The 27,276-nt window shown below is 36.5% G+C and overlaps 1 protein-coding gene across 3 annotated transcripts in view; it reads left to right on the forward strand.

Annotated features, from left to right (window-relative positions):
- The window catches only part of PDE3A (phosphodiesterase 3A), a 320,047-nt gene that overhangs the window by 52,897 nt on the left and 239,874 nt on the right, over positions 1-27,276 (forward strand). The window lies entirely within an intron of this gene.

Raw genomic sequence — 27,276 nt, forward strand, 5'->3', positions numbered from 1 at the left:
TGCTATTGGCTATGAGGAGTGTTGCTTTAATTGCAGCGAAGTTAATCTGTAGAATTTAACAATTATGTTGCCATCTATCTTAAGGGTTTATAACTCTGGTATAGAATAAGCAAATAGCATAAAACACTTGTACCTGTGTGTACTCCTCAGAGTTTTATTGGTAATAAAAAAAAAAAAAAAAACCACCCATGCTCACTTTTGTGCTTGGGAACAGAATCTGTTTCTAACCTTTGCTATTAACAGGAAGTGGGAGAGGTGAAATGAGCCCTGGTTTTGTGGCCGGGCCAGAGCACTCTGTGTTCCTGAGAGTGGTATTCAGGTTTCATGTCTGTCTAGCTTCTTGCTCCTTTGAATAGCTGGCCTTTGAAGTGCTAAAAACATAGATTGGTAATGAGCAATGTAAAGTAAAGAGTGGGAAAATATTTGGAAAATTCAAGCTCTGAGAATAGCCTGTCTGGGATGATTTGGCTCAGGCTGTGTTGTAACTGTGTTTTTCTTTCCCAGGTAAATTGTGAAGTTTTATGAATATAATAGTATAAATTTCCTCTATAAGAATAATTGAAAAATCTCAACTTCACTTGCGTTTTTGGTAGAACGATTGCTATATTTAGTTTAAAATTTTAGGGCGGCAGGCCGGGCGCAATGGCTCACGCCTGTAATCCTAGCACTTTGGGAGGCCGAGGTGGGCGGATCACTAGGTCAGGAGATCGAGACCATCCTGGCTAACACGGTGAAACTCCATCTCTACTAAAAATACAAAAAATTAGCCGGGCATGGTGGCGGGCACCTGTAGTCCCAGCTACTCGGGAGGCTGAGGGGAGAATGGCGTGAACCCGGGAAGTGGAGCTTGCAGTGAGCCAAGATCGCACCACTGCACTCCAGCCTGGGCAACAGAGCGAGACTCTGTCTCAAAAAAAAAAAAATTTAGGGTGGCACTAACTGTCGAGTCTTTTAAAAAGATAATCTATGCCTTGAAGTGCCATTTTTATTTTTGTAATTACAAATGGGTATCAGAAGAATGGAATCTAATATGAAGTTGAGGTCATATATTAAATCTAACACCTTTGAATAAAAGTAGACCTTTTGTTCCATTGCATGTTATTATTGAGGGGCCCCCATTATAATACAACAGTGGCCTGTTTTAGAAAATATTCTCTATCAGAAAAACACCATAATTTAAAAAGACATATTTCCACCAAAGTCACATTCTAAAATGTATACAGAAGGACATGGAATAACCGCATATAGACTTAGTGTATCATGTCCCCATTCTTCCAAGAAAATAGGCAAATTTTGTTAAACAGCCCCAAAGGTAAATATGAATATTTTTATATTTTTAGAAAGGTTTGAATTTTAAAAGACAATCTTAGTTCTAGTATGTTTATCTCTTGCCTTGGAGGCAGTTCTTAAAACTATAAAACTTGAGTTGTGACTGTCAGAATCCAACACTTACATGTTTATTTGGAGGACATAATTTTAAAATACTGACATCTTTATCTAATTTGTTATATTATGTTACAGTAATAGTTTAATATTGTAGTGCATGATATTAGACTTGAAATGCTAGAAATCACTGGAATGTATAGCCAATGAAGCCTGGGTTGATTTTTGATATTTTTGGATTATATAGTACCAAATTATAATCCCATATTCTATATTCAGATCTCTGAAAAAAGTGGCCTTTCATTGATCAAAATATATTTATATAAAACATTTTAATGAAGAATACCTATTTATAAAATATCCAGAGGAAATATATGCAGATGTAAAATTGAGCCCAATAAATCCTTGTGTTTTCATAGGTATGAAAGTTACAATAAATAATGGCAATTAGATATTGTGTGTGTCAGAAAATCAATTTTTCTCCCAAATCAATCCCTCTCTTTCTTTCTGTTTCTGTATCTCTTTCACAGACACAATGTAAACACCTATGCATATGTGCTCATATCTGTTTTAGTTGACTTCTTTCTTGAGACTTTAAATTCTGAAATGTTTTACACTGCATGTACAGCTAAGATTAAAGTCTTCTTTTTAACAGTACACTTTTTATAATGCCTTGAACTTGTTTCTCTGTGGCAGAGGAAAACAGCCTCATGCATCTGGACAAACAAAGGTGTTCCTTCAAAAACAGACTTTCAGAATCATTAATTCTGGTTTAGAAATAATTATGAAGGTTAAGTGGACTCTCATGCGTAAGATTTTAGAGCTGGTGAGTGGCTAATCTGTGCTTTACTTCCCCTTGTTTTCATCCTTCTTATACCACCGGTATTACCGTGCCTCCTCTTAACAGTTTTGTTCCCTCTGTAGCAAGTGAGCCAGAGACAGTGCTTCAGCTTCCTATAGCCTCCTGGTGGTATGCAGGGACAGCTGGCTGAGATCATATGCACTTCTACCCAAACATATCCCAAGGTAAGGCTACAGGTAGTAAAGCTGTGACCAGAAGGTAGATTTAAAAAAAAATTATTTAGGTCCTGGAAATATAGAAAGAGCAGATAGTGCCTATAGTAATAACCAAGTGAGCAATAACTAGGGTGTGAGTGGAGTTATTGTGTTTAGTCTAAGAATGAAGAAATAGCAGTGTTCGGTGAAGTGGAATTTGGTGAGGCATATACAAACCAGAGGTAGAAAGTAGTGGATTTTTGCAGTTTCATGCATAACCGTAAGTGCAGTATTAAAAAAATACATATTGCGAAAGTAAAACTTTTAAAGGATACTTCTCAGCTTGAAATTCTTAATACATTGTAGCAATCATATTAGTTCTTGCTGTAAAATAAGGTGGCTATAAAATAAGTTAGTCAATTTTGAGTTGTGAGTTGAAAAGGAAAAAGTAGTGATTAATGGAGACATGAGCTAGGAAAAAGCATTTGGAGAGCGGATAATTTACATCAGTAGGCCTCTCAACTTTTCTTTACCTCCCCACTGCCCTCTTTCAATTACTTCCCTTAGATCACAAGTTTCTGTTTTAGTAGAAAAATTTTTCTATAGATACAAATAGATGTAAGGGAGCATAAATGAATTCCTGATTACTCTGTAAGCTAAGAATTTAAACATATGTTCAGGATTGTATTTTTATAAAAATTTTTATTGCAAATTATTAATATAGATTCACAGATGAATAAAAAATGATGTGGTCCTATTTATGTAAAGCAAAACAAATATTTGATAGGTGGTGTAGAATGATGTTTACACCTGCCTTATGGATGATTTATGTTGGAACTGCTAGGCATACGTGTCAGAATATCTACTTACCAGAAAATCATAGAAAAATATGCAAGTTTATATCACTCACACTGTGGAGAAAACCAGTCAGTAACAAACTGTTAAGTCTTAACAGTGATTATAATATTGAAAAGAACAATATCAACAGTAGAACAACCATATCAAGACAGTGGATCATGAAGCAATGACTATAGGATTCCCTCCTAAATTTCGTTCATTGTAACACCCACACTGTGTTCTGTCTCTGTGCACAGCACAACAAACTCACTTCAAAGCCAAATGAGGACTTGGCATACTCAGGAAATTCTAGTAATGAGATGCTCTTAGTTTTACTGTTACAGTATGTAGCACTTCATCTTAGGCAAATATGACAGTCTGTGGAATCCTGTGTCATTCATTTGAAAGAACTGACAAAAGAACATGTTTTTAGATCAACTTGCATTTGCAGGAACACACATGGGTTGCCAAAAATATCCATTTAGAGTGTTTAAAAGAGGCACACGCCTGGATTGGCCTCGGTGACCAATAATGTCTGGTGGTAATGCGTGTTTTTTGGAGTAGTCTTTAATTACTAAACAAGGTGGTGACATACATAAAGCCAGTGGGTTTTTTTTCCACCGGCAGATGGGTGCTAAAGAAACTGAGCGATTTTATTTTTTTCATCATATAATATTTCTGATGGTCTTGCCTCCTTCAAGTCTCAACATGTGTCTCTTTAAAGAGAATATTTCACCTTTCAAAATGAAGTCTCCTAATGACTCACTTAAATGTTTATTGTTTTCTTGCCGTAAGGAACTTTGTGACTTGTAAATATGAATTTATGTATGCATTTTTGTATGAATAAATACATTTATAAAATTGATATTTAAAAAGAGCTAGCACTTAAGTTAGGCCAGACGTTTTTCTAAGCACTTTACAGATGCTAATTTTCTAATCCTTTCAACAGCCCTGAAAAGTGACTTTCATATTTAGGATTGAATATAAACTCATTCTAAGATTGTCTATAACCTATTTCTGTGTTGCTTAGCATAGTTCTATTTAAGAGAACTAAGACAAACATATAGAAATATGATGATGACAATGATGATATTATATTACTTTCCCAAGTGTCTGGCACTATGCGTATTTCACCAAGCATTTGTAGAGAAGCGGCAGAATATGATGATTATGAGCCTCAATTCTGGAATGAGACTAACCTGGTTTTAAATCCTGGCTGTGCTTCTTACAGGTTGTGTGATTTGTGGTAAGTTACTTAAATTGTCTGTGCTTCAGTTTCTTCATTTGTTAAATGTGTATGACACCTATTTCATAGAATTGTTATACAGATTACGTTAATTACTAAAAAATTATTTCGAGCTCTTAGAATAGGGACTGGCACATATTCAATACAAAATAAGTAATAAAATACAGAGGTATGTATTTGAATATTCAAGACTTCTTGGAAGGAAAATACTTAATGCTGTTGAGGAAAATTTTAAGCAATTAGAATGGCAACTAGAAGAGATTTTGTAACAAACTATAGTGGATTATCTCACATATTTATCCCTCATTCAGGCAACTACACATCTGAGTTCTCTGCTTGTTACTAGAGCTCATGGTTGCTGGCTCCGAATGAGAACTGAATATGAAAATTTTCAGTTTGTGAAAAACATCTGGAGCTTTTAGTTGACTACAAGCTTAATATGAGCCAACTGTATGTTGCAACTGCTTAAAAGAGAAAAAAAGAATAAAAAACCCTGAAGAATTCCTTAGGCATTATAAATAGAAATAAGAGTGTCCACATCATGGGAAGTAACATAGTTGACGTACTTCACACTGGCCGCATCACGGCTGGAATACCATGTTCCGTCCAAGACACCATAATTTTAGGAAAGACTTGGACAAACTGGAGTGCCAGAAGTCTGGAAATATGAGAAATGGAGGAAGTGGGACTGTATAGTGTAGAGAAGACTAATAGGAACTAAAACACTTGTCTCCAACTATTTATAAGGTTGTCATTTAGAAAAATGGACACGCTTATATATTGCCCTAGAAAACAAAGAGTAGAATCAATATAATGAAAGTACCATGTATATTTTTACTCAGTATTAAGGGTGAAAACTAATGGGTACCAGTGCTGAGTCTTGCAGCAATCATATAAGAATTCCTGTATATGGCCGAAGCTTACATTCAGTTACATTCACTAAAATAAGATTTTTGCATTCATATCCTCATTGGGCTTGGGCAGTAAAGGAATTAAATCCCCCAAAAGTTCATTAAAATTTTAGGGCTGTTCTATGATTGCATGGATGGTTAAAATTAGACCTGATGGCACTATTGGTTATTCTAAGAAAGGAGCTAAAAGTCTATATAATTGGTTTACTTTTTATTCAGTCTAGTTTTGAAATCTTAAGAATGGATCAAGGAACATTGGATGAAGAAGGGACACAGGGTAATGTTATTTTCCCAAATTTCAGAAATTCTTCCAATTTAGGTTCAGCAGGTAATTAAGAATGATTTCATGCATGTCAGCAAAAATAGTTTGATACAGGACTCATTGAATATTGTATTGTGTTGGGAACTGATCAGAGAAAACCATGGTGTTTGTCCGTGAACTCTCGTTGCTTTTTATCTAAGAGGGGTTGAAATGTTGCGTGCTTTTGAATTTTATCATGGACAATACTTGAGATTTGTACCAGTACACTAAGGGTTATTTTTAAGGATTGAGTAAAATGGAAGTGTATTAATGGGAAATAGAATAGAAGATAGCTATAGTATGACCTTGGAAACTGACTTTACGTTTTACAGGCATGTTTTTCTTTCCATATTTCATTCTTGTATCTTGAAATAAGCTGTACTTATGGTTAGGTATATGCTAGATCTTAGAATTCCTTTAAATTCATCTTGTCAAAATATCAGCCATTCTGTATGAATATTACCAAGTTTAAGACATTGGTTTATGTTCAATTTCAGCAGTTTGTATAACTGATTTGAAAAAGCAATAAATAGGCTTCAAAATTTTATATTTTTTATAGGAAACAGGTAATTTAATACATTTAATACATTAATACATTTATAATGTATGTATTTTTTCATGAGGTAGACTATGTAAAAAGTAAAGAAGATGATCTAAATCCAGAATTAAAAGGCACAGTCACATTTTTTTTTCTTTTGCAGCATTGGATAGTATCAGTTTGTTATAATCTAGAATATATAATATATTCTGTTTTTACATTTCTTAACTAAATCCTCTTTTTAAAATATAAATAAATATCTTTAAAATAATATTTTAGGCCGGGCATGGTGGCTCATTCCTGTAATCCCAGCACTTTGGGAGGCTGAGACGGGCGGATCACGAGGTCAGGAGGTCAGGAGTAATCCCACATCGTTCAAGTCAGTAATGAATTTATTTGAATCAAAAGTGGATACATTTAAGGAATTGTTTCTATACATCCAATTAGGTAATTCTGGTTGGCTAAATTGAGAGCTGGTCATAATCCCAAAAGACACAATTCTGAATGTCATAATTCTGAATGTTAAAATCCCAGAAGAGTAAAATCTCTAAAGTCTAAAATCCAGAAAATCACAATCCCCAAAACATCAAAATCCTGAAAATGTAATTCTGAAAAAAATTAAAATATTATTATTAGTAGTAGTAGTATTTTTGAGACGGAGTCTCGCTCTGTCGCCCAGGCTGGAGTGCAGAGGTGCGATCTCCACTCACTGCAAGCTCCACCTCCCGGGTTCAGGCTATCCTCCTGCCTCAGCCTCCCAAGCAGCTGCGACTACAGGCGCCCGCCGCCACGCCCGGCTAATTTTTTTTGTATTTTTAGTAGAGACGGGGTTTCACCGTGTTTGCCAGGATGGTCTCAATCTCCTGACCTCGTGATCCGCCCGTCTCAGCCTCCCAAAGTGCTGGGATTACAGGAATGAGCCACCATGCCCGGCCTAAAATATTATTTTAAAGATATTTATTTATATTTTAAAAAGAGGATTTAGTTAAGAAATGTAAAAACAGAATATAGGCCACTTTACACAACAAAATATGCAATAACAACATACATGCTTTTGCACATATAAACACTCAAGTATGCTAATGACAGTCATACTGGTATAATAGTTATGACAAGATGAACTGTCCTTATAAAGAAGTAGGTCAAAAAAGGACAATGTATAAATGCGTACCACTATGATTGATAGTTGTGTGCAACAGCTTTCTAACTTTGGTCATCTGAAATAATATAATGAGCAACCTAAGTCTTTTGACAAGATCCATCAAAAACTGTGATAGGTTACCAACATATATGTAGTCACCCAAAGAGCTGAGATCTCAAGAAATTTTATATTTCACAAATGCAAATGTACAAAAGAACATCTCTTCATTTACTGAGAAAATTTCAATGTTTTTACATACGTACACAACACTTAACACAAAGTAAACATAGTTCACTTCTGTGAAGTCGAATTTGCAAAAAATGCATAAAACAGAACTCTCAAAGTCTCTATACAGTTTATACCTCCAGTAATGGAAACGATGTGAAGATGAAATACATAACATAGTGAATTGCTTTACGGGGTTTCTAGGTATTCCTCAATCCTGTAAAGTTGACATCTACAATTAAGCCCATACGTTCTAGTGATAAATAGAGGTCAGAAAAATAGCATACGTGGGTTTGGCTTCTGTTTTCCTTCTTTTTTTCTTCAGTTATTCTTTTGACTGTGTTTTCTTATTATTAACCCTTGCCTCAAATTGTTCCCTGGGAGAGTGCTGCAGGCTACAGCCCTTTTTCAAATGGTGAAAAATTTGAGAGAATAGTGGTATGAAGAACATTTTGAATGCAAGGCTGTTTAGTTGTGAATATTGCATTGATCACATCTGTGTTTCTGAAGCTCTGTGACTTGCTCTCCTAAGCCTAGAGCAATCTTCACTGAACTAACTCTGTGGGGTAAAGAAATGGTTCTAAGTAATAATAATAGGCTCACTTTAACTTAGAAGGTAGATATTGTTGAGTGACTTTAGTTAGCATCTGCTGCATTCAAAACATGCTGGGAGGTGAGGGATTATGAAAGAGAAAGTTGAAATACATAGATTTGGACAATAGAAAAAGTATGTTTAATTTTTTCTAGTTATTGTTGATGTTTTATTTTTTACCTTCATCATTTCAGTTTCTTATTTTGTTTCAGATACAGAAACATCAAATCCATGTTCCATACATCTTAGACACTGATTTTTTTTTTTATGTCATTTTGACATCCCTCCAGCACCCAAATGCCAACATCTGCTACATTTTGCCACACGGTTGTAGGCTTGAACTCTGAAATGCCCCTAAATGTTTTTAAAATTTCTTTGTGTATGTTTTCAAAATAACCTTCCTTTGAGTTCTCAGTTTTATGTGAACTGTAGTTAAACTCTTTTTTTTCCATGACTTGTAGCATATGGTATTTAACTGTTTGCCAGTATCGCTTTCTGAAATGAACCTATTTGTACAAAGGCATTTTAAGAGAACAGTGCACTTAATCAGAGAACCTCCTTCAAGGTGACTCTACTGCTTAAACATGGTTTAAAAAAATTAAAATATTTGTGGCTCAGCATTGTTGTTTCATTGTCTATCAAAGTTAATAAAAATAACTGGCCTTTGAGAAAGAGTACACCTTTAAAATTTTTGAAGGCCAAATGATTTTTTTTTATTTTTCATCCAGAAATATCTATCCCTAAAGGAAGAGAAACTTTCTTCAGAAAGGTATTTGTTTTAATCAAGGAAGTTTCTGCTGAGATTAATAACTTGGTATCATCCCTTAGTTCCTGATAAACATCATACCTTAAATGAGTCTTCTGTTTTTTAACTAGTTTTTCTTTTGTCTAAAACAAAATTGCCTCTTTTGTTTTAGAGATGAATTACTCAATTTTTAATTGTTTTGGGGGCAGGGTGCATTATTTTCCTATTGAAGAACAAAATGTAAAACACTGCCCTGAAAGGAATATTTGCAAAACCATGAAAGTGAGCAAAGTTGAGATGGGCTACTCTATAGAAATTTTGCATTTTATTCTAAAATACTGTATTTTGCCATGATTTGTTCCCTGGTGTGTATAGAAGCATTGGCTGCAGCCTGAATTCCTGAGCCCTTCAGTTCTCCACTTTTAGTGTATATAAACACAATTTCACTGAGCTTGGAAGAATCATGTTGTAGTGAAGGTAATATTATTGGCCTCTTTCTTTTGTTGCTTTGCTGCTTTGTGGAGAGGGATAAGTTTATTGTAAAAGCTTCTTTAAATCCATGTTCTTATACAGGGCTATAGATATCTTACCCGTCAGTTCCAGGCAAGTCACCCTTTCTGGGCTGCAGTTAGCCACAATAGTTAAATATTCTGGTTTTTTGGAAGATTTTTAAAAAATCTCTATTCTATCCACCTAGTTCTGAGAGAGTATTTCCCTCAGTTTGTCTCATTTGTGGGAAGAAATATTATCTGCCCGTCTTTATTACTACCCCAATATCAAGTTTACATATTTATGTGTTTGCCATTCTATAATTACGTCTGAAACAGGTTGATTATCTATTTTCAAAATAAAAGATACAGAATGAAATGAGGCTGTAGGGAGAATGAATGAACCAAAAAGAAAAAAAAGGTTTTGCATATTTTAATTTCTGAAAAGTTTCTCCAGTAGGTTTATCAGATGATTTTTGTTGTTGTTCTTCACAGAAATGTTGTTCGGCCATGTATGTTCATGAGGGAAAAAAGTTCTCATCCTTTGAGAGTATGAGGATTGTATACACGATGTATATAATGTTGGAGAAAAAGGTTTTTATTAGTTTCATGACATTAGTTTCCTTAGCTGCCTTTCTGAGAATGGTCCTTATGTTTAAGATGGGGGCATTTAAGTTATTGTCAGGATTAAATTCAATCGAAAGAATTAAGTGTTAGGAAACTGTGCCTTGCCTGTCAAATAGTGACTAGTCAGGAAAACACACACACACACACACACACACACACGCACACACACGCACGCACAAATGCATGCACACATTCCTCACTGCTATTTTGACGTATATGTACCTATAGTATGTCTAAATTTTTCATGGTATTAGATTATACTTCAATTATTTGAAATTAATTTAAAGAACAGAAACTAAGAGGAATCATAGAATCAAAGATAACTATGCGCCTTATCTCAATTGTGTATAAACCTTTTGAAAGAAAATAGGTTCATTTAATAGTTTAATAACACATTTTGCAGTTGTTGTAAGGTTCGTAAGTTTTTGTTTGCTGAGTATTAAGGCAAAATTTTTAAACAAATGAAATTAAGTGGCCTGGTGACCTGGCTTCAAGTATTAATCTGTAAGCACTTTTAAAATGCATGCTTAGCAGCATGGTTTCTTTTTTTTACAAATCTTTTGCAAAGAGCAGTGATAATGTGCCAATGACAATGAAATATTTGAACAAGAAAAGTTGTTTTTATTTATGGAGAAACAAGTAAAGGCCCTAAGGTGGTTAAATGATTGCTTAAAGTCACACAGAAGTGGCATGGCTCTGATTTCCCAGTTTACCAGATACTTAGATACTCTTTTCAATGATGGAAAAGCAAATAATAAATAATTTACTTTCTAGATATTGTTGAATTCTTACTATGTTTCTGGGCTTCTATGAGATGCTGGAAGATTTCTTAAAAGTGAAGAGGGTGAAATGGGGAGGTGTTAGTCAAAGGGTATACAGTTTTGGTTATGCAAGATGAGTAAGTTCTAAAGATCTGTGTAGTATATTGCCTACAGTTAACAGTACATACTCTGTTGTAGACTTAAAAAGAGGGTAGATTTTATGTTGTGTTCTTATCACAAAAAAAGGTGGGAGGAAACTTCTGGAGGTGATGGATAGGTTTATGGCACAGATTGTGGTGATGGTTTCACAAGTATATATATGCTTATCTCCAAACTCATCAAGTTGTATATATTTAATATGTGTAGCTTTTTGCATGTCGATCATACCTTAATAAAATAGGTCAAAAAAAGAGGAAGAGCTTCAATTATTTTTCTCTTCTTTCCTTTTTCCATACCTTCATAAAAATTCAGAGTGCAAATTTCTTAGTTTATTTCACCTACTTTCTGAGCAATATTTTTTAAAACCTGTGTTACATTTCAAAAGCAATATTCAATTTATTATGGCATTGACTAGAATAACTTGTTCTTGAAACTTAGGTAAATGGTTATGAAGTAATCAAAATGTATCTTTCAGTATGCTTTTTTTTTGTGCTGGAGTAGAAAACCCAACTAAAAATGATATACATTTTAATAACCAAAGTATATTATCTCACAGATGGAAGTCTAGAAGGTCTTAAGGGTGACTCCATCAAGGAGTTCTGGCTCCATTTTCCCAGGAATTCTCTTGATTTTGCCCTCCTCTAAATGAAACAATGTAATTGAAGCACTTCTGAACCTCATATTCAACTATAACAATGAATAGATGAAGAGTGAGGAAGAATTTTCCCAGCAGCCTCCAAAAATCCTCCTTTTATTAACCTGACTAATCTTTTTTTGAACTATTCCCTTCGAAGGGCAGTGGGATCACTGTATAACCAAACTTTGGTGGGACACAGCAGACCTGTGACACTGGCTCACATGGGAGAGGAGTAAAACACCCCAGGAAGGGAGAAAGATTATGGACAGCTCACCCTGCCCCTTAGAAAAACTGGAGACTATGTGTTCCTGAAATGAAACAAGACAAGTGTTCATTGCACTCTGAGAATACATTATGATGTAGAAAAAAATTTGAGATCTATAGGATATGAAAGTGGCACACAGGCTTGGAAATTACAGCAATTAGTGGTAATGTATTATCTTGGGTACTGCTTGGGGTCTCTATATGTAAGATGACTTTAAATATATGAAAATTTTGACAAACATTGATACTACTCTCTCAAGGAAGCTGTGTATTTCCCATTTATTTTGTCTGCAATCTGGTTTTTAATAAATTCAAGACTCAAGTTAACTTTTAATAAATACTGTACATATTTTACTATCAGAATTTTAAGAACAGCATACGTTTTTTAAAAAAATACACAAGATGTAATTTTAGTAAGGTTAGGAAGAGCATGTACTGCTGGAAGTATAGTTCTGTAACTACATAGACAAAATATATGTCTTCTCTGTCACAATTTTGCCTTCAGATTCATTGTTTGTAGAATGTTTCTTAAGGCTTCACAGATATTGTAATTTCTTATAGATGGATTGTGGAGAGAGATCATGTGTAGATAGAATTCCTACATGGTCCCAGTGTTTTAAGTATAGTAGTCTTCTGCCACTCTAATATTGAATAAGAAGTGCTAGTGGAAAAATTGGGTGATCGATTACTTATTTCCACTCTGAGATCAGGTCTCATTTACCTTGAATTTGATTTGTTCTTCCTCAGACTCAGTGTTTCTGATGCAGGTGGTGTTAGGCTCCCACATTGTTAAAATAATGTGCAACATTGGTATTCTTTTAAAATACCATTAACATGCTTTATCTTTGTTCATTTGTCAAATCAAGGCTTTACTATTGAAGGTGACTTTTTTTTTTTCCTGCGTTTCAGCTGAGTTTCTCTTACAATAGTCTTGACTGCTGCCTGTTTTTGCTCATGACTACTGATTGCCTGTACCCTAAATCCTCTCTGGACCAGGATGGGAACATACATTTGCAATGTTGGAAACTTGGAGTTCGTTTTCATTGAAATTCTATAGGGGCTTTGAATTTGTGTGGGGTGTTCTGTGTATACAAAGTATAGAAAAAACCTCTATTGCTATCTATCTTCATTTAAGGGGAGAGCCAGGGAGGCTGTTTAGAATTAAATGTTTTTAGAGAGTGTTTGCTAGCTTTTAGTAACTCCTAGACCTGGTAAGGATCAGGACCAGGCAGGTGTGAGGACTATACCTGTTAACAAAAGCAGCCCTGATCCCTGTGCTGAGAGGGAGTATAGTGTAGTGGCAGGGACGGGGAAAGCAGATACATATAAAATCATATGACATGTAAGAAGGGGAAACTACATGGTGCTGAGAAGAAACTATGTTTATTTCATGAAATGCTGACTGAGCTAAGATCTAGGGAGAAATCAGAAATTAAATTCCCACAATATCATGAAGAATAGACTTGAAAACAGTATGAGCCTTGGCTTTCCCTTATTTGAGTCAATATGCTGATTGTATAGAGTGGGATTTATTCCATTGGGATCATATTTTTTCAGATACTAAAGAGTAACTTTTAGTTTGGGAAGAGCAAAATGTCTCCAATTATCCCAAGGATTAAAAACTTTAAAGCAACTTTTCATTCATATTAATGTGAAAAAGAATCCACTTAGAAAGAAATGAGGGTTCCACATTGAAAGACACTTTAGCATTTATTACATTGTGTATTGTTGAAGTAAGACTTCAGGTATTCATTTGATTTTAAAATATGTATGGAGCACCTACTACATAGTAAGCATTTTCCTGAGTGCTGGAGCACAGCAGCCAATGAAGCAGAAATGTCCTGGGGGGCCTTGAACTTGGAGGTACTTCCCATTTCTCACTCTGTCATAGGGAATCCCCACTGCATTCCTTGTTACTGTAGAGTCAACTGTGAGATTCTTGGTCGTGGAACATTTTCATTCCATTACTAACATCAGTTATCTCTGACTAGCATTTGTATTCAGGTCGATTAAAAATATCCCTCTGCTGTTGAATGAAATCTTAGAATCTTAATTCTTCTACGTCATTCAATAGAATTTAGGCTTGTCTTCCAGATTTAAAAAAAAATCATCTAAGGTGCAGTATGTACTGAAATAGTGAACCTGGAACAACCCCATATTCCACTGATATTCTTTTTTTTTCCTGGTTATACAACTGCTGGAACAATAGTGTAACAATGTCAAAGAAAATTTGTCTGGGAGGTAGGAAGATTGGTGATAGGAAAAGTACTATTATTATGGACAAGCTCTAGATTTGGGAGTCATAAGATTTGAGTATGGTTCCTGGATCTAATTCCTGGTAGTAAGGAGGCCATGCGTAAGTCGCTTACCTTGACCAATCTATTTTCTACTTTTCTAAAATGGTAATTCTATTTGCTCTGCTTAACTCACAGCTCTTGTAAGGATCACATGAGAAATGCTCAGTTGTTTTTATACTGTCATACAGGCACAAAGCTAGGGGTGATTAAATTTTAGACCGCAAGTGTGGACTAACCGTTATTAGTACAATATAGTGTCAGAGCTGGGCAAACAATTTAAATAAGGGAAACTGGACTTTGTTCTCCCCATCCCACCCCTGCTTTTTTGTTTTGTTTTGTTTTGTTTTTTGTGTTTCTTGTGTTGCATTATACGGGCAAGATTGAGATTTTTGGTGTGGGAGGGGTTTTTCTGGTGTCCCTCAAATTCAATTACGTAGGTAAAGGTGGAATTGATCCTTGTTACTCAAAGTAAGACTTGTCAACAAACTCAGCATTACCTGGGAGCTGCTAGAAATGCAGGGTCTCAGGTTCCACTCCAGATGGCTGGATCAAAATCTGCATTTTAACAAAATCCCCACGTTTATTGTATGCAAATTTTCCTAAACAGAGAAGTTGACAGATTTCTAAAACTACCCTGATCATTCCAAAAGACTCTTTAGGAAGTTACAGCTTCAATGACAGCAGCTGCGAGATGTTTTAGCACCACCTGGGAGAACGGGGGATTGGGTGGGGGAGAGGGGCTATACTAAAAAACAAAACAAAACAAAAAAAACTATGCTGCTTTCTGTTCCCAAGGAAACATTTTAGGGGTGAAAGGTTCATATTCCATTATCAGTCCCCTGAGCCCACCAGTGTTCAAAAATGTTTTTTTCCCAAGACTTTTATGGCACTTAAGTCAGACTGCTCCTATTGGAATAACAGACCAAAAATGACTGACAGTTATAGTGTCTGGGATTAGGGAGAAAAATATTTAGTGAGAGGAACTGGGAGTTTATCAGGAGACATGAATGATTTCATCTCCAGGATTCTGGTTTTTAGTCACCTTTGCTCTCTGAGGGAAGTGAATAAGGGCTGCCTTACTCTGCCAGTTCCCAGTTCCAGGAAATGTACATTCTCAAGAGATCAGGTGGTTTTATAAAATATAGTCTTTTTCTCTCGTAGAGGGGAATTGAGAGCAAGGGAGGCTTAAATCCTTAATAAAGATCATGTGCATATTTGAAAATTGGGCATAGTTCTTCAGACACCCAAACCTTTTACATGTAATTGCGAATTAGCCCTCACTTCCAGTCATGGCAAGGTTTAGGATTAAATGATATTGAACTAGCTTTCCCCTTAGAACATTGCTTTTCTTTGCAGGATGATAAAGCTAATTTTTAATCATACCTCCTCTACAGTTTTAATAATTATGACTTTTCTTCTTTTTCCTCTTTTCTTTTTGCCTCCTGCCTGGAGTCCTGAGTAAAATTTAAGATTGTGTGTGTGTGTGTGTGTGTGTGCCCTTGACGCTATCTGATTCCTTTGAGTATTGACTACACATCTGGACTGTGCTACTAAACAAAGTTGAGAGTGTTGGATGATGTGAAATAAATCAACTTTGAGACTAGAGATGAGTGGATGGCTCATGACAAAAATTTCAGGCTTTATTTTTCCAATTTTGCTATAAATTAGTTAAAAGTTTGTTATGGCCAGCATTTGGGAACCTGTGTTGCATCAGACTCAGCCTTCATTCAATTATTTAACATATATTGATCATATCCCTACTATATGCTATTAGTATTATGGGTTAGGCCATTCTTGCATACCTAAGGTTGTGTAAATTATAAAGAAAAGAGGCATTTACCCATACCTGAGGCTGGGTAAATTATAAAGAAAAGAGGCTTAATTGGCTCACGGTTCTGCAGACTGGGCAAGCATGGTGCTGGCCTCTGCTCAGCTTCTGGGGAGGCCTCCAGGAGTTTTTACTCATGGCAGAAGGGAAGCAGGAGCAGGTGTGTCACATGGCGAGAAAGGGAGCAAAGTGAACACCGGGAGGGTGCCACACACTCGTAAACAACCAGATTTGGGGAGAACAAACTTACTAATATGAGAACAGCACCAAGCCATTCATGAGAAACCTGTCCCCCATGATCTCATCACCTCTAATCAGGCCTACCTCCAACATTGGGGATGACAATTCAACGTGAGATTTAGAGGGGTAAGATATCCAAACTTTATCAAGGACCGTAATGGAAATAGACTTGTACTCATACAGCTTACATTTTATCCTAGTAGACATGCCTTTGATTGCATAGCTTGAAAGGTTGAAATGAACTAAATTGAGGGTTGTTTATATTAAATAAAGCTATTTTCCCCCAATTTTAGCTAAACCTCTTTTTATGTAAAGAAAAAGGATTTTTTTTTTCCAGTAAGATTTACCAGTCAAAGCAGGAAATCATTTTGTTACAATTGTCTTACAAAGCAGCCCTGTGCAAGGCTGTTGCTAATGTTAAGACTTTTCTTGGGGGTCTCCGATAGCTGATTCTCTCTCGAGAAGTCTTCCTATTCTTGGATGTAGAGTGTTGCTAAAAAGAATTAGTTCCATTTTCTCCAGAGTGCTCTAAGTTATAGCTATTTATCTTTTAAGGAAGCTCCTAAGTATCCACAGGTGTTCAGCCCCCTAAAATTTCAATTTATCTTCAGCACAGCCAGCTTTTCAGTGTTTACTATAAGGCTTTAACCACATGGTAATTCCTCCCTTAAAGAAGTCTGCTGTATATAATGTTAAGGCAGGGTTGTCAGGGCTGTTATGCTGTGTCCCAAGCCAAATACATTTCTCAGCATTCCAAGGTTATGCGAATACACAGAAATAATTATTTTCAGATGTTGACATTGCACTTAGTGATTTAGTAATATGAGAAAATATGGTTCAAAAGTTATTCATCTAAAAAGCAATGCAAAATATAGTAGAGACAAATATGGTATGCATTCAGGCACATACTGTGAAGTAGAAATGTTGGAGTGATTTAGCTTTCTGTCATAACATCTTTATCACACAGGATATGGACTTGCTATGATGTGAGTTAGCATGTTTCCTCTGACACAACTAGAGTCCAGAGATGTGCCTTGCTTCTAGTCCAATAATCACTTTCAATCACTGAGCCAGACCCATGATTCGTGGATTCTCTTGTCACTTAAGATGTTGTCTTTTTTTTTTTTTGAGATGGAGTCTTGCTTTGTCTCCCAGGCTGAAGTGCAGTGGCATGATATTGGCTCACTGCAACCTCCACTTCCCAGGTTCAAGCGATTCTCCTGCCTCCACCTCCCAGGTTAAAGCGATTCTCCTGTCTCAGCCTCCTGAGTAGCTGGGACTATAGGCACGTACCACCACGCCTGGCTAATTTTTTTTGTGTTTTTAGTGAAGACGGGGTTTCACCATGTTGGTCAGGGTGGTCTCAAACTCCTGATCTCAGGTGATCTGCCTGCCTCACCCTTTCAGAGTGCTGGGATTACAGGTGTGAGTCACTGTGCCTGACCAATATGTTCCATTCTTAAGTCAGTTTTGAATGTTAAAAAATGAAATCTTTACAGTTTCAAAATATAATTTTTCTGTAATGATCCAGAAAATAACAATAGGACTTTTAAAAAGGGCTTTTCTTAGCTTTGCAAGAAAAGAGATAAGAGCAGAAAGGTTCACTTTTTGAAGAGAACAAGACTCACTCAGTTGGAAAGTTACTCTAAATTTACTTTTTCCTAACATTGATTTATGACATTCAGTATGAATTTTGTCTGTTTATATCCACATATCATGTAGTCAACATAGAAAAGGGAAAAACCTGAATGAAGTTTTATTATACTCATTGATTCTTTATATGCATGAAAGGGGAAATTATCATTATTTCTTAATAGTCTTTAAATTTCTACGGTAGCATTTGAGGAAAATGAAATGAACTCCATTTGATATATGACCTATTGCACTTAAAAATATTCAGATCACTGGTTATTGCTGACTGCTTATAAGGCAAAATATTTTGATTTTACTGTATTGTTCATGCTGCGAGCAAAATGGGTGTCTGCTAAGTTTTTATTTTAAAATGCATATTTCTGTCTTTACCTTGTAGCCTTGCAATGCGTAATTCAAAATGTTTGCAAAGTACAAGTTTATTATATTGTTTGTCTGCTTCTTATTATAACTTTAAAAAGAAAATGGGACACCCTCCTCTCACCCCACCCTAGAGACAGATTTTCCATGACAGAATAGTTTTAAACATCAGGATATTGCATAAGTCAGTCTGGAAAAAATAGGAACAGACAGCTAGCACTATCTAGTAGAGCTTTGCTTTTGTGACAACATTTTTTGATTAAATAACTCTACATAAATGATAATTTCCCTACATAGTTTGATACCAATATCTAAGTTGATATCAACTTTCAAAATCCATAATTGTTTCTGTGTACATTCTTTCTGATTGTTTTTATTTGGGTACTGTATAAAAAATGATGAGAATTTAAAAGTCATTGTATGATATAAATCCAAAGAAATCTAATTAAGCTCTGAGTCTAATGAGTGTGAGAGAAACCTGTTCAAGGGATGTTTCAAAGAGTTAACATTGTGGTGGGGTATGAAAAAGTGATGGTGTGTAGGATATTGCCTTGCTCCAGGTTTTACAAGGAATAGTTAGGATTTAATTTTTGGCCCCCAAAAGACTTAAATTTTAACGTAATTATAAGGAAAAAGAAATTGGTGGCATGGCTGTGTGATCCTATGGGTTGCTTGGGACTGAGTATAGTGAAAAGTTTGTGAAGTAGACGTTAATATTCAAAGCCCATTTCAGAAAAGTTGAAATCAGAGCAGTAAGCAAAATTATTCTCCAAGTCCCTTTTAATTTTATTTGCTCACTTAAGCCAAAAGAACTGGGATAGGCTGTATCTTTTTCACGTTACAATGATCAAACTACAGGGGCCAAGTGCAATTCTATTCATATTTCTTTTCAAGGGCAAATCTATTTCTCAATAAGTCACATCACTTACATAACACTTCTTGAGTACTTGTTTACTACAGCCTGGACAAAGGGTATCAAGGAACAGTAGGTTTACTTGGTGGTGGAGTCTGAGGAAAAATAAAACTATTTGTTAACAGCCAGTTGTTTACAAGGATCCTTATCTAGTTTGTGAAATCTTTATCCCTGTGGGATGAAGAGTGTGATCTAACTCATTGTGGAAGCTTAGCTTTCTTCCCTTTCTGCTCCTGGAGCTAGAGGTTTTCCATCAGAGATGGATATATTCTTTTGGGATTCCTTATCAATATGCCATGCCATTTTAGAATGACTTCACCTATCTCACCTTTGATTATTTATGAGTAAAAGGAGGAGAAAACTACCCGTTTTGTGAAATTGTTTCTGACACATGAATAAAACATTATGTATCATACTAATAAATTATAATGAAATTGTATGCCAGGATTGGATCTAATTCCTTGAATTATTCAACAGTGAAGCTCAGTAAGTTCAAGGCACTACCACAAAGTACTGTTGGGAGTATAATGGATACATAAGAAGTAATACTGGTTAAAGGAAAATAGAACATAATTGAGAAAAATAAATTCTGCAAATATATAATTAAGTACCATGAAGCAATTAGAAACTGTGTTATAGTCCAGACTTGAAAGAGATTATTTCCTGAGGCAAAGGGAGCATTCATGGAGTAGAGTAGTCATTGAGTAGGATCCTTCGTGGAGCAGATAGTCATTGAGTGGGTTCTGAAGGGTGAGTGGAATTTGAACAGGGAGAGACCTGAGAAAGACGTAGTCGAAGGCAACATCATTAGTAGCAGAAGAGTGAAAAAAATATGGTATTGAAGAAGAATAGTGCAATTATGTAATGGGTCATAAAATGCATTAGATTGACAAGTTAATTCTCACTAAGAGCCAGGTACTTTGCTAAAATAAGCATTTTACATAAATTATTTAGCCCTCACAGTAAACCTAAGAAGTAGAAATGTATGGATAAAGAATTTAGGACATGATACAACTAATATGTGGCAGCAGATGAACTTGAAACCAGGGACTGGGGTCTTGACCACTAATCTCTGTTCCCTGATGTTGGTATTTGGTACTACAGGGAAGGATGGATATTTCATTCTGTAAGCTGTGGTCACTCACAGGATGTTTTTGAGCAGAGTGAGCAATGTGTTCCTCCCAATTACTCTGTCTCATCTCACCCATCCCTCTCTTCAACCCTGCCTTTAAACTACCGAGATAAACCATTTGGAATTACAGATCTGATCATATAGTGCATGTGCTTATGATCCTCCGGGGCCCACAGCATGCATTTCTTGTTTCTTCCCATGGTGTGCAAGGCCTTGCCAATCTCTATAGCTTCATTTGTAACTACTTTCCTTTCTCTGAAATCTCCTTGCTGTATTCTTCTGCTTTTCCTTAGGTTAGTGCCTCCTCCTGGATGACCCTTTTGCATTTCTGGATCCATCTATTCTGCTCTGCTTTTCTCATTTCTTGTGAAATATTGAACTGCTTATTAACCTTCTTCTTCATAAAAATTTGAAAATCTGTTTCCAGATTTGTAGTTCTACACCAAAATGGAATTCAGTCATTGACACTACCTATTCCATATTAAAATGGCTTTTAAAATTATGTAATGTATTTTTTACCCCAAATTTCCAGTGTGCGACCCATATTCATGACCTGTTTTGTCTATTAGTTAGGATAGGCTAAGCTATCTTGCAGTAACAACAACCACAAATATTGTAATGGCTTACAACAAAAAAGATTTCCCTCATGTTTGTGTAGATTGAAGGGAAGACTGCTTATCATAGTTACCTCTGAAGGAAGCTCCACTTGACATGTTCTTTCACAATCACATAGGAGAGGGAGAGCACATGGTAGTCACACGCTGGTTCTCAGCACTTCTGGCTGGTAGTGATGCATACCACTTGTTCATGCATTTCACTGACCTCGCATGGCCTCACCAAATGTCAAGGAGACAGGGAAGCACCATCCTACCACGTGGCTGAAAGTGGGAGACGCACGGAAATACTTAGTTCACACCACTGCAATGGGTTAAAGATCTGAAATTGTAAGACAATTCTTTTGAAATTTATGTTCACTAGTAGTTTGTAATAGTGTCGAGTCAAATGTAGCAGTTTGGAAGTGAAAACTAAAACAATCCTAAAGAGGTGAGATTGTATCTTTTAAAATCATTATCTCAGTTGAAAACTGAATATTGAAGCATATGCTTAAACTTAACACAATAAATGTAAGCATTTCATGGCCATGGCACAAAAATGTGTTAAAACTATATCGTTCATCCACTGACAGTGTTGAAGAACAAAGCAGTGTCACAGAAAATAGGTTGCATTATTCTTAGAAATATATCATGCTTTGAGGGATCCTTTTTTTTAATGGAGGTCATGATCATCTTTCATAAATAATTTATCAGTTAATGGTAGTGAACAGAGTTTGAATGAGTCAAAATTCTACAATGAAATGCTCCTGTATAGGTGTAAGTATATAAATGTTATATAAATATACATATACAAATGTAAATATATAAATGTATATATTTAATGTGTATTTGCCCCTAGTTTAATTTGTCAGCAGTAACTGCTGGTTTTTATTTCTTTTTGCAAGAAATTATATAGAAATTGATTTGAGGGAGATTTAAAATAAATGTTTAGTGAGAGGAAATCTTACTCTGTCCTATCTATGGATATTGATAAACTGTACCACTGTATTCCTAACTCCTAACTTGGATATAGGAGCTTGACTATCTGCATAGATACGTAAGGGGATATGGCTGACAGGAGGAATTACAAATGTACTTATTTAACAATTAATGCTGACATAAGCTATTTGGGTAATACCTCATTTTTTTTTAGAATGAATGATGACTGTCAGTGTGACTGAGGATACAGACATGAAATTAGGAAATCGAAAATAAATATCTGTTTCCTTCAAAAAATTTGACTAGTCATTTTTTTGACTAGCTTTTTAAAAATTGCATAAGACTAACTCTTTTCGTTTGCTGTGTGTACATTAAATATGTCTGTATAGGTCCCTTTGCTTTCTTTTGCCCCACAGTAATTATGTTGAAAATTATAAACAGAGGCATTAGCATAAATTAAGGATTAAGTATGGAAATCATAAAAAACCCTACTTCCATGAAAATGAAATTTCTTTTTGAAAAGAGAAATAGGTATTATTCTACTTATTTTCGTTTAGCAAATTTTCTTATGGAACATCATTACTCTGCCTCTCAGAAGATTTGCCAAAGTGTTTAAAACTCCCTCTGAATGTTTGTACTTCAATAACCTATTGAAAGCACAACTGATTTTGTTTGTGCTAGGTTTATCTCCATTTAAAGGCAGACTCCTTCGGTGAGCTCCCCTGTGGCAATATGAGAGAAGGAAAAGAAGGAGGGAGGACCTTGCAGGACTGGTTTATATAGCAGGAAGTTAAGAGACAAGAGAGCTCTACAATTATTGAGCACAGGAAAATTGATTTCCTATTCATAGTAGTGTGGCACATGTAGAGGAGTCTTTAAAGATGATACAGCATGCCATTCCTTTCCCCTCCGTTGTGTAATCAACCAGCCAATATTTATCAAGTACCTGTTAGTTTCACTTACAGAGTACCTGTAGCTGAGTTTTCTTTTCTTTTCTGCTTTCTTTATCCCTGCTCTCTAGCTCCTGACCTGTCCATCACGAATATCAGTTTTCCATGTGCCTTAGACCTGTCTTCCATCTAATAAGACTTCACACTGCTCACTTTTCCTTTCTGACACTGAATACACATAAACAACAGAGAGCAATGTCTCTTAAACCCATAAACCCATTCAAAAACCAAAACCAAACCAAATAAAATGAATTGGTTGTATTAATTTGTATCATCCATTTACATTTTGAGAAGCATAGTCAATCAGATAAACTTACTGTTTTAATTCTAAATTCACTGACTTTCTGTCAGTCTCTATGTTCCCTATATGTAGCAGCTGGGTTAAGAATATAATTGTCTTGACAACAAATTATTGACATTTACGAGCTCAAAAGTTACCTCAGAAGCTTTTGAAATTAAAGAAATAAAAGTGTTAATTCTCTCTGATCTGAACAAGCCAGGACTCAGTGTCAGCCCTTTATAGGTCAGGCTGTGGAAGGAATGCATAGGATGAAATACCAGTGCATGCCTGGTGCACTAAAACTAAATGGGATTTCAGCAGATGAAGGGAAAGGGTGAGGAATCAAGCCTTAAATTGTCTGCCTCAGGCATGGTAAGAAGACTTGGACAGTAATAGAAACAGGAAGTGTTTGCTGTGAAGCTTGAGTATATTCAAAGTAAATCAGTTTGTGTTCCATTAAGGAATCCTGGCTCTAGGTTGGAGCCTACGCGGGATCAGTAAATTTTGCACTAGGAAATACCTAATGTCAAGCCTTAGAAAACACCTCATACTGTGGCCAGCTGTCATCAAATCCATCGCCACTGCTAGTAAAATAACTCCAAAGCAAGTGAAACTGGCAGTAATTGCACAAGTAAACGGGTTGCAAAAGAGCAAAATGGGTACGTTTCAGAACATCATTTCTGTTAGGCTCCATGTTATACTGCTTACAGTAGAAACAAATGGAAGTCGAGAGGTGAAGCCTGGCATTAAGTTTACTAGTGATCCAGGAATAACTGTTAGCAGCTGGGCCTGGGTGCTTTTTCCCTGCTTTGTCCTGGAAAGATTTCACATCTTAAGGGAAATGAACTACACACCTTGAGAAAATTTTTTTTTCTATCATATTGTATAAATCTGTGTAAATCTCATTTTCCCCCTTTTTGGAGTTAAGTAGCATAATTAACTGTAAGGCTTTTCCAAATACTTTCTTAACCCTGAAAAACTTTCCCTCGGGACTTACAGTATAGCCAAATGGATATCGATTATTGCTAAATGTAAATACATATGCACATATGAGGTGAAGCTGTATTAAAATATGGGTGGCAGTGTCTTTAACTCAGATTTGGGATGCTTTATACAGTCATGGGAAATATCAGGGGATCAACTTGAAATTCTTTAAAAGTTAACAAAATTTTGGAACGATCAAGGAACATGGGAATATGGCCTCACCTTTTCTTTCTCACTGATGACATAAATGCCGCCCTCACTGTGTTGTTTATTGTTTCTTCCAGATAATCTTTGCATACTCAGTACTTGGAATATAGAGCCATTGCCCTGTACTCATTTTTTCCTTCCTGGAGGTATAAATAGACTGATGACGCCCTATGCTCTCTGCAGTCTGTGCATCATTCATACCGTACATCTCCTTTCTAGGTCACAAAGCTTTTAAAAAAAATCAGCAGTGGTAGCAGCATGTGAGAAGATGAGCATATGACTGACTCCTTCCTTTCACCTCAGAGCCGTGCCTTTGATAGCATCCAGACAGCAGTGCATGGAAACATGACATTTGGGTGGTTCAAGAATATCAGAGGGAAAAATAGCCATTCTTACCAAATAACTTAAAAATAGCATAGTCTGAGCATTTTTCCCTTCGCCCTTTCTCCCCCAACGTGCCTGAAATGAAGCCCTTCCCATCCAAAGCAAAACTAGGAATTTGTGTTTTGTGAGAATTTGAAGAGCCTGCCTCTCTTACTACAACTGCTTTCTTCCTTCCAAATGTATAAGCTTAAGTCGTGAGAAAATGTCATCTGTCTCATTCTGCTTCCCTCTCTAGTAAAATAAAAATGGTCATGCTTTCAGACGGTCATGTATTATTGAGTGCCTACTGAGTGAGGAACCATGTGTTGAGTGTTTTGAGATGGGGTGAGGGAAAACATTATTTTTCTGCTTTCCTCGAGCTTCATTATGTGTTAGATTTCATGGTATCTAAGCCAACAGTTGGCGAGAAGGCTGATCCTTAGAGGTAATCTCACGTTCAAGGAAGGTCGGGAACAAGGTTGGTGAGTAGTGGGGACAGCGTTCTTGTTACCACTGGAGTTTGTGTCCTGGATGCCAGGTATACATCATCTTATTCTCTTCTTGATTTGTCAGTACTTTTTAGGGACCATTAGTTCTCTGCCTACTATGTGCCAGACTCTACCCTAAGCATTTAGAATTCCAGTTAACAATAGGTAAATCTTCTATTCATTTAAAATTTCATTCTAACAGCTAGTAATGTATTTGGAGGAATAAATGCCGTGAAGAAAAGCAGACCGAGTGTTATCTATAGGTAGTTATGGGAGATGTATGTTATCTTATATTGGTTGATCAGGGAGACACAAACTGATAAAGGGGCGATTGCTTATTTCTCTGAAAGAAGCAAGGAAATGAGAACCACCTGGATGGCTGAGGGAACTGCAGTCCAAGGAGAAAAAACAGCAAGCGTAAATCTCACAGGTGAGGGTGCATCAGTGGAGCAAGGGCAAGAGTGTTATGATAAGAGGTCCTGAAGGCAGCAGTGAGAAATGCCCTGGAAGCCTGTGCCAGACATATTGAGGAGTGTGGATTTTATTCTGATAAAGACATTGCAGAGGAGTGGCATCATTTCACTTGCTCTTCAGAAGAGAAACTGGAACACAGATGGGCAAAGGAGGCAGCATGAGACAAGCCTCTCTCTTGCAAGCCATCCGGATGAGAGATAACAGTGGCTTGGAGGTGACAGTGAAGGTGGTAGGAGGATATTCTTAAAGTAGAGCCAGTTGAATTTGCTAATTGTGATATTGTAAAATATGTATTTGGTCTTCATCCCTGTTTTCTGTCATACAGCTCCTAAAACCCTTGATAAGAATATCCTTTGTGTGCTAATAAGACGACTAGTGGCTGGAGGCCCCTTTGTAACTTCTGGATGGGGGCTGGTCACCAGAATGGTCAGGGGATTGGGACTTTCAGCCCCATCTCTCAACCTCTGCAGGGCTGAAGGTTGTGTTGATTACTAATGGCCAGTGATACAGTCAGTCATACCTGTAGAATTGAAGCCTCTATGTAAAACCTAAAGGACAGGGTTCAGAGGACTTCTGGATAGCTGAACATGTGGAGGTTCCTAGAAGGTGGTACAACCACCCAGGGAGGACATGGGAGCTCTGCACCCCTTCTCCTATACTTCACCCTATGCAGCTCTCCAACTGGCTGTTCATTCATATGCTTTGTAATTTTTTTATAATAAATGGGTAAATAAATATGAAATGTTTCTCTGAATTCTGTGAGCTGCTCTAGAAAATTAATCAAACACAAAGAGGTGGGTTATAGGATCTCTGATTTATAACTGGTTGGTCGAAATACAGGTCACAACCTGGGATTTGGAATTGGCATCTGAAGAGGGGGGCAGTCTTGAGGGACTGAGGGGTGATGCTATGTCCAGGTGGATAGTGTTAGGATTGAATTGAATTAGACGATGCTCAGCTGGTGTCTGTTGAAGAATCTTTTGTCAGAAGTGTTGAGTGATGTGTGAGAGTAGGAGAAACAATGGTTTTTCCTACATTCTCTTACACTAATGGATTTGTATTCGGAGAGATTGGAAAGATGGATCTGTCATTTACTGAGATGGGAAGTCACAGCGAGGAGCCCATTAACCATATATTAAAACTCCATTAGTAATATTAAGACTGTCCATTCTAGAAGAGGTGGTGGCTCACGCCCGTAATCCTAGCTAGCACTTTGGGAGGCCGAGGCGGGTGGATCACCTGAGGTCAGGATTTCGAGACCAGCCTGGCCAACTTGGTGAAACCCCGTCTCTACTAAAACTACCAAAAATTAGCCGGGCGTAGTGCTGGGCACCTGTAATTCCAGCTACTCAGGAGGCTGAGACAGGAGAATCGATTGAACCCGGGAGGCGGCAGTTGCTGTGAGCCGAGGTCGCGTCAATGCACAACAGCCTGGGCAACAAGAGCGAAACTCTGTCTCCAGGGGGAAATATTAGTGAAGAGGACAATATTGTAACCTACAAAAATTCTGTGGTAGGTATGTTACTTTTGTTAACAGACTTTTCTGAATAAAGTACTCCAAAGTAACTTGGAGTTAAGACATTTTAATATTATGCCTTGGTTTTCAAAACATGAATGGTTTCCTTCTCTTTTCATGAATTTGGATATGAATGCAGGCACTTACCTACGTAATTTCTAATATTGATGATACTGGTGTTTCTTAAATTCACTAAAAAATTTTATTTGTA

Source organism: Homo sapiens, chromosome 12, assembly GCF_000001405.40.
Source record: "Homo sapiens chromosome 12, GRCh38.p14 Primary Assembly".
Classification (NCBI taxonomy): Eukaryota; Metazoa; Chordata; class Mammalia; order Primates; family Hominidae; genus Homo; species Homo sapiens.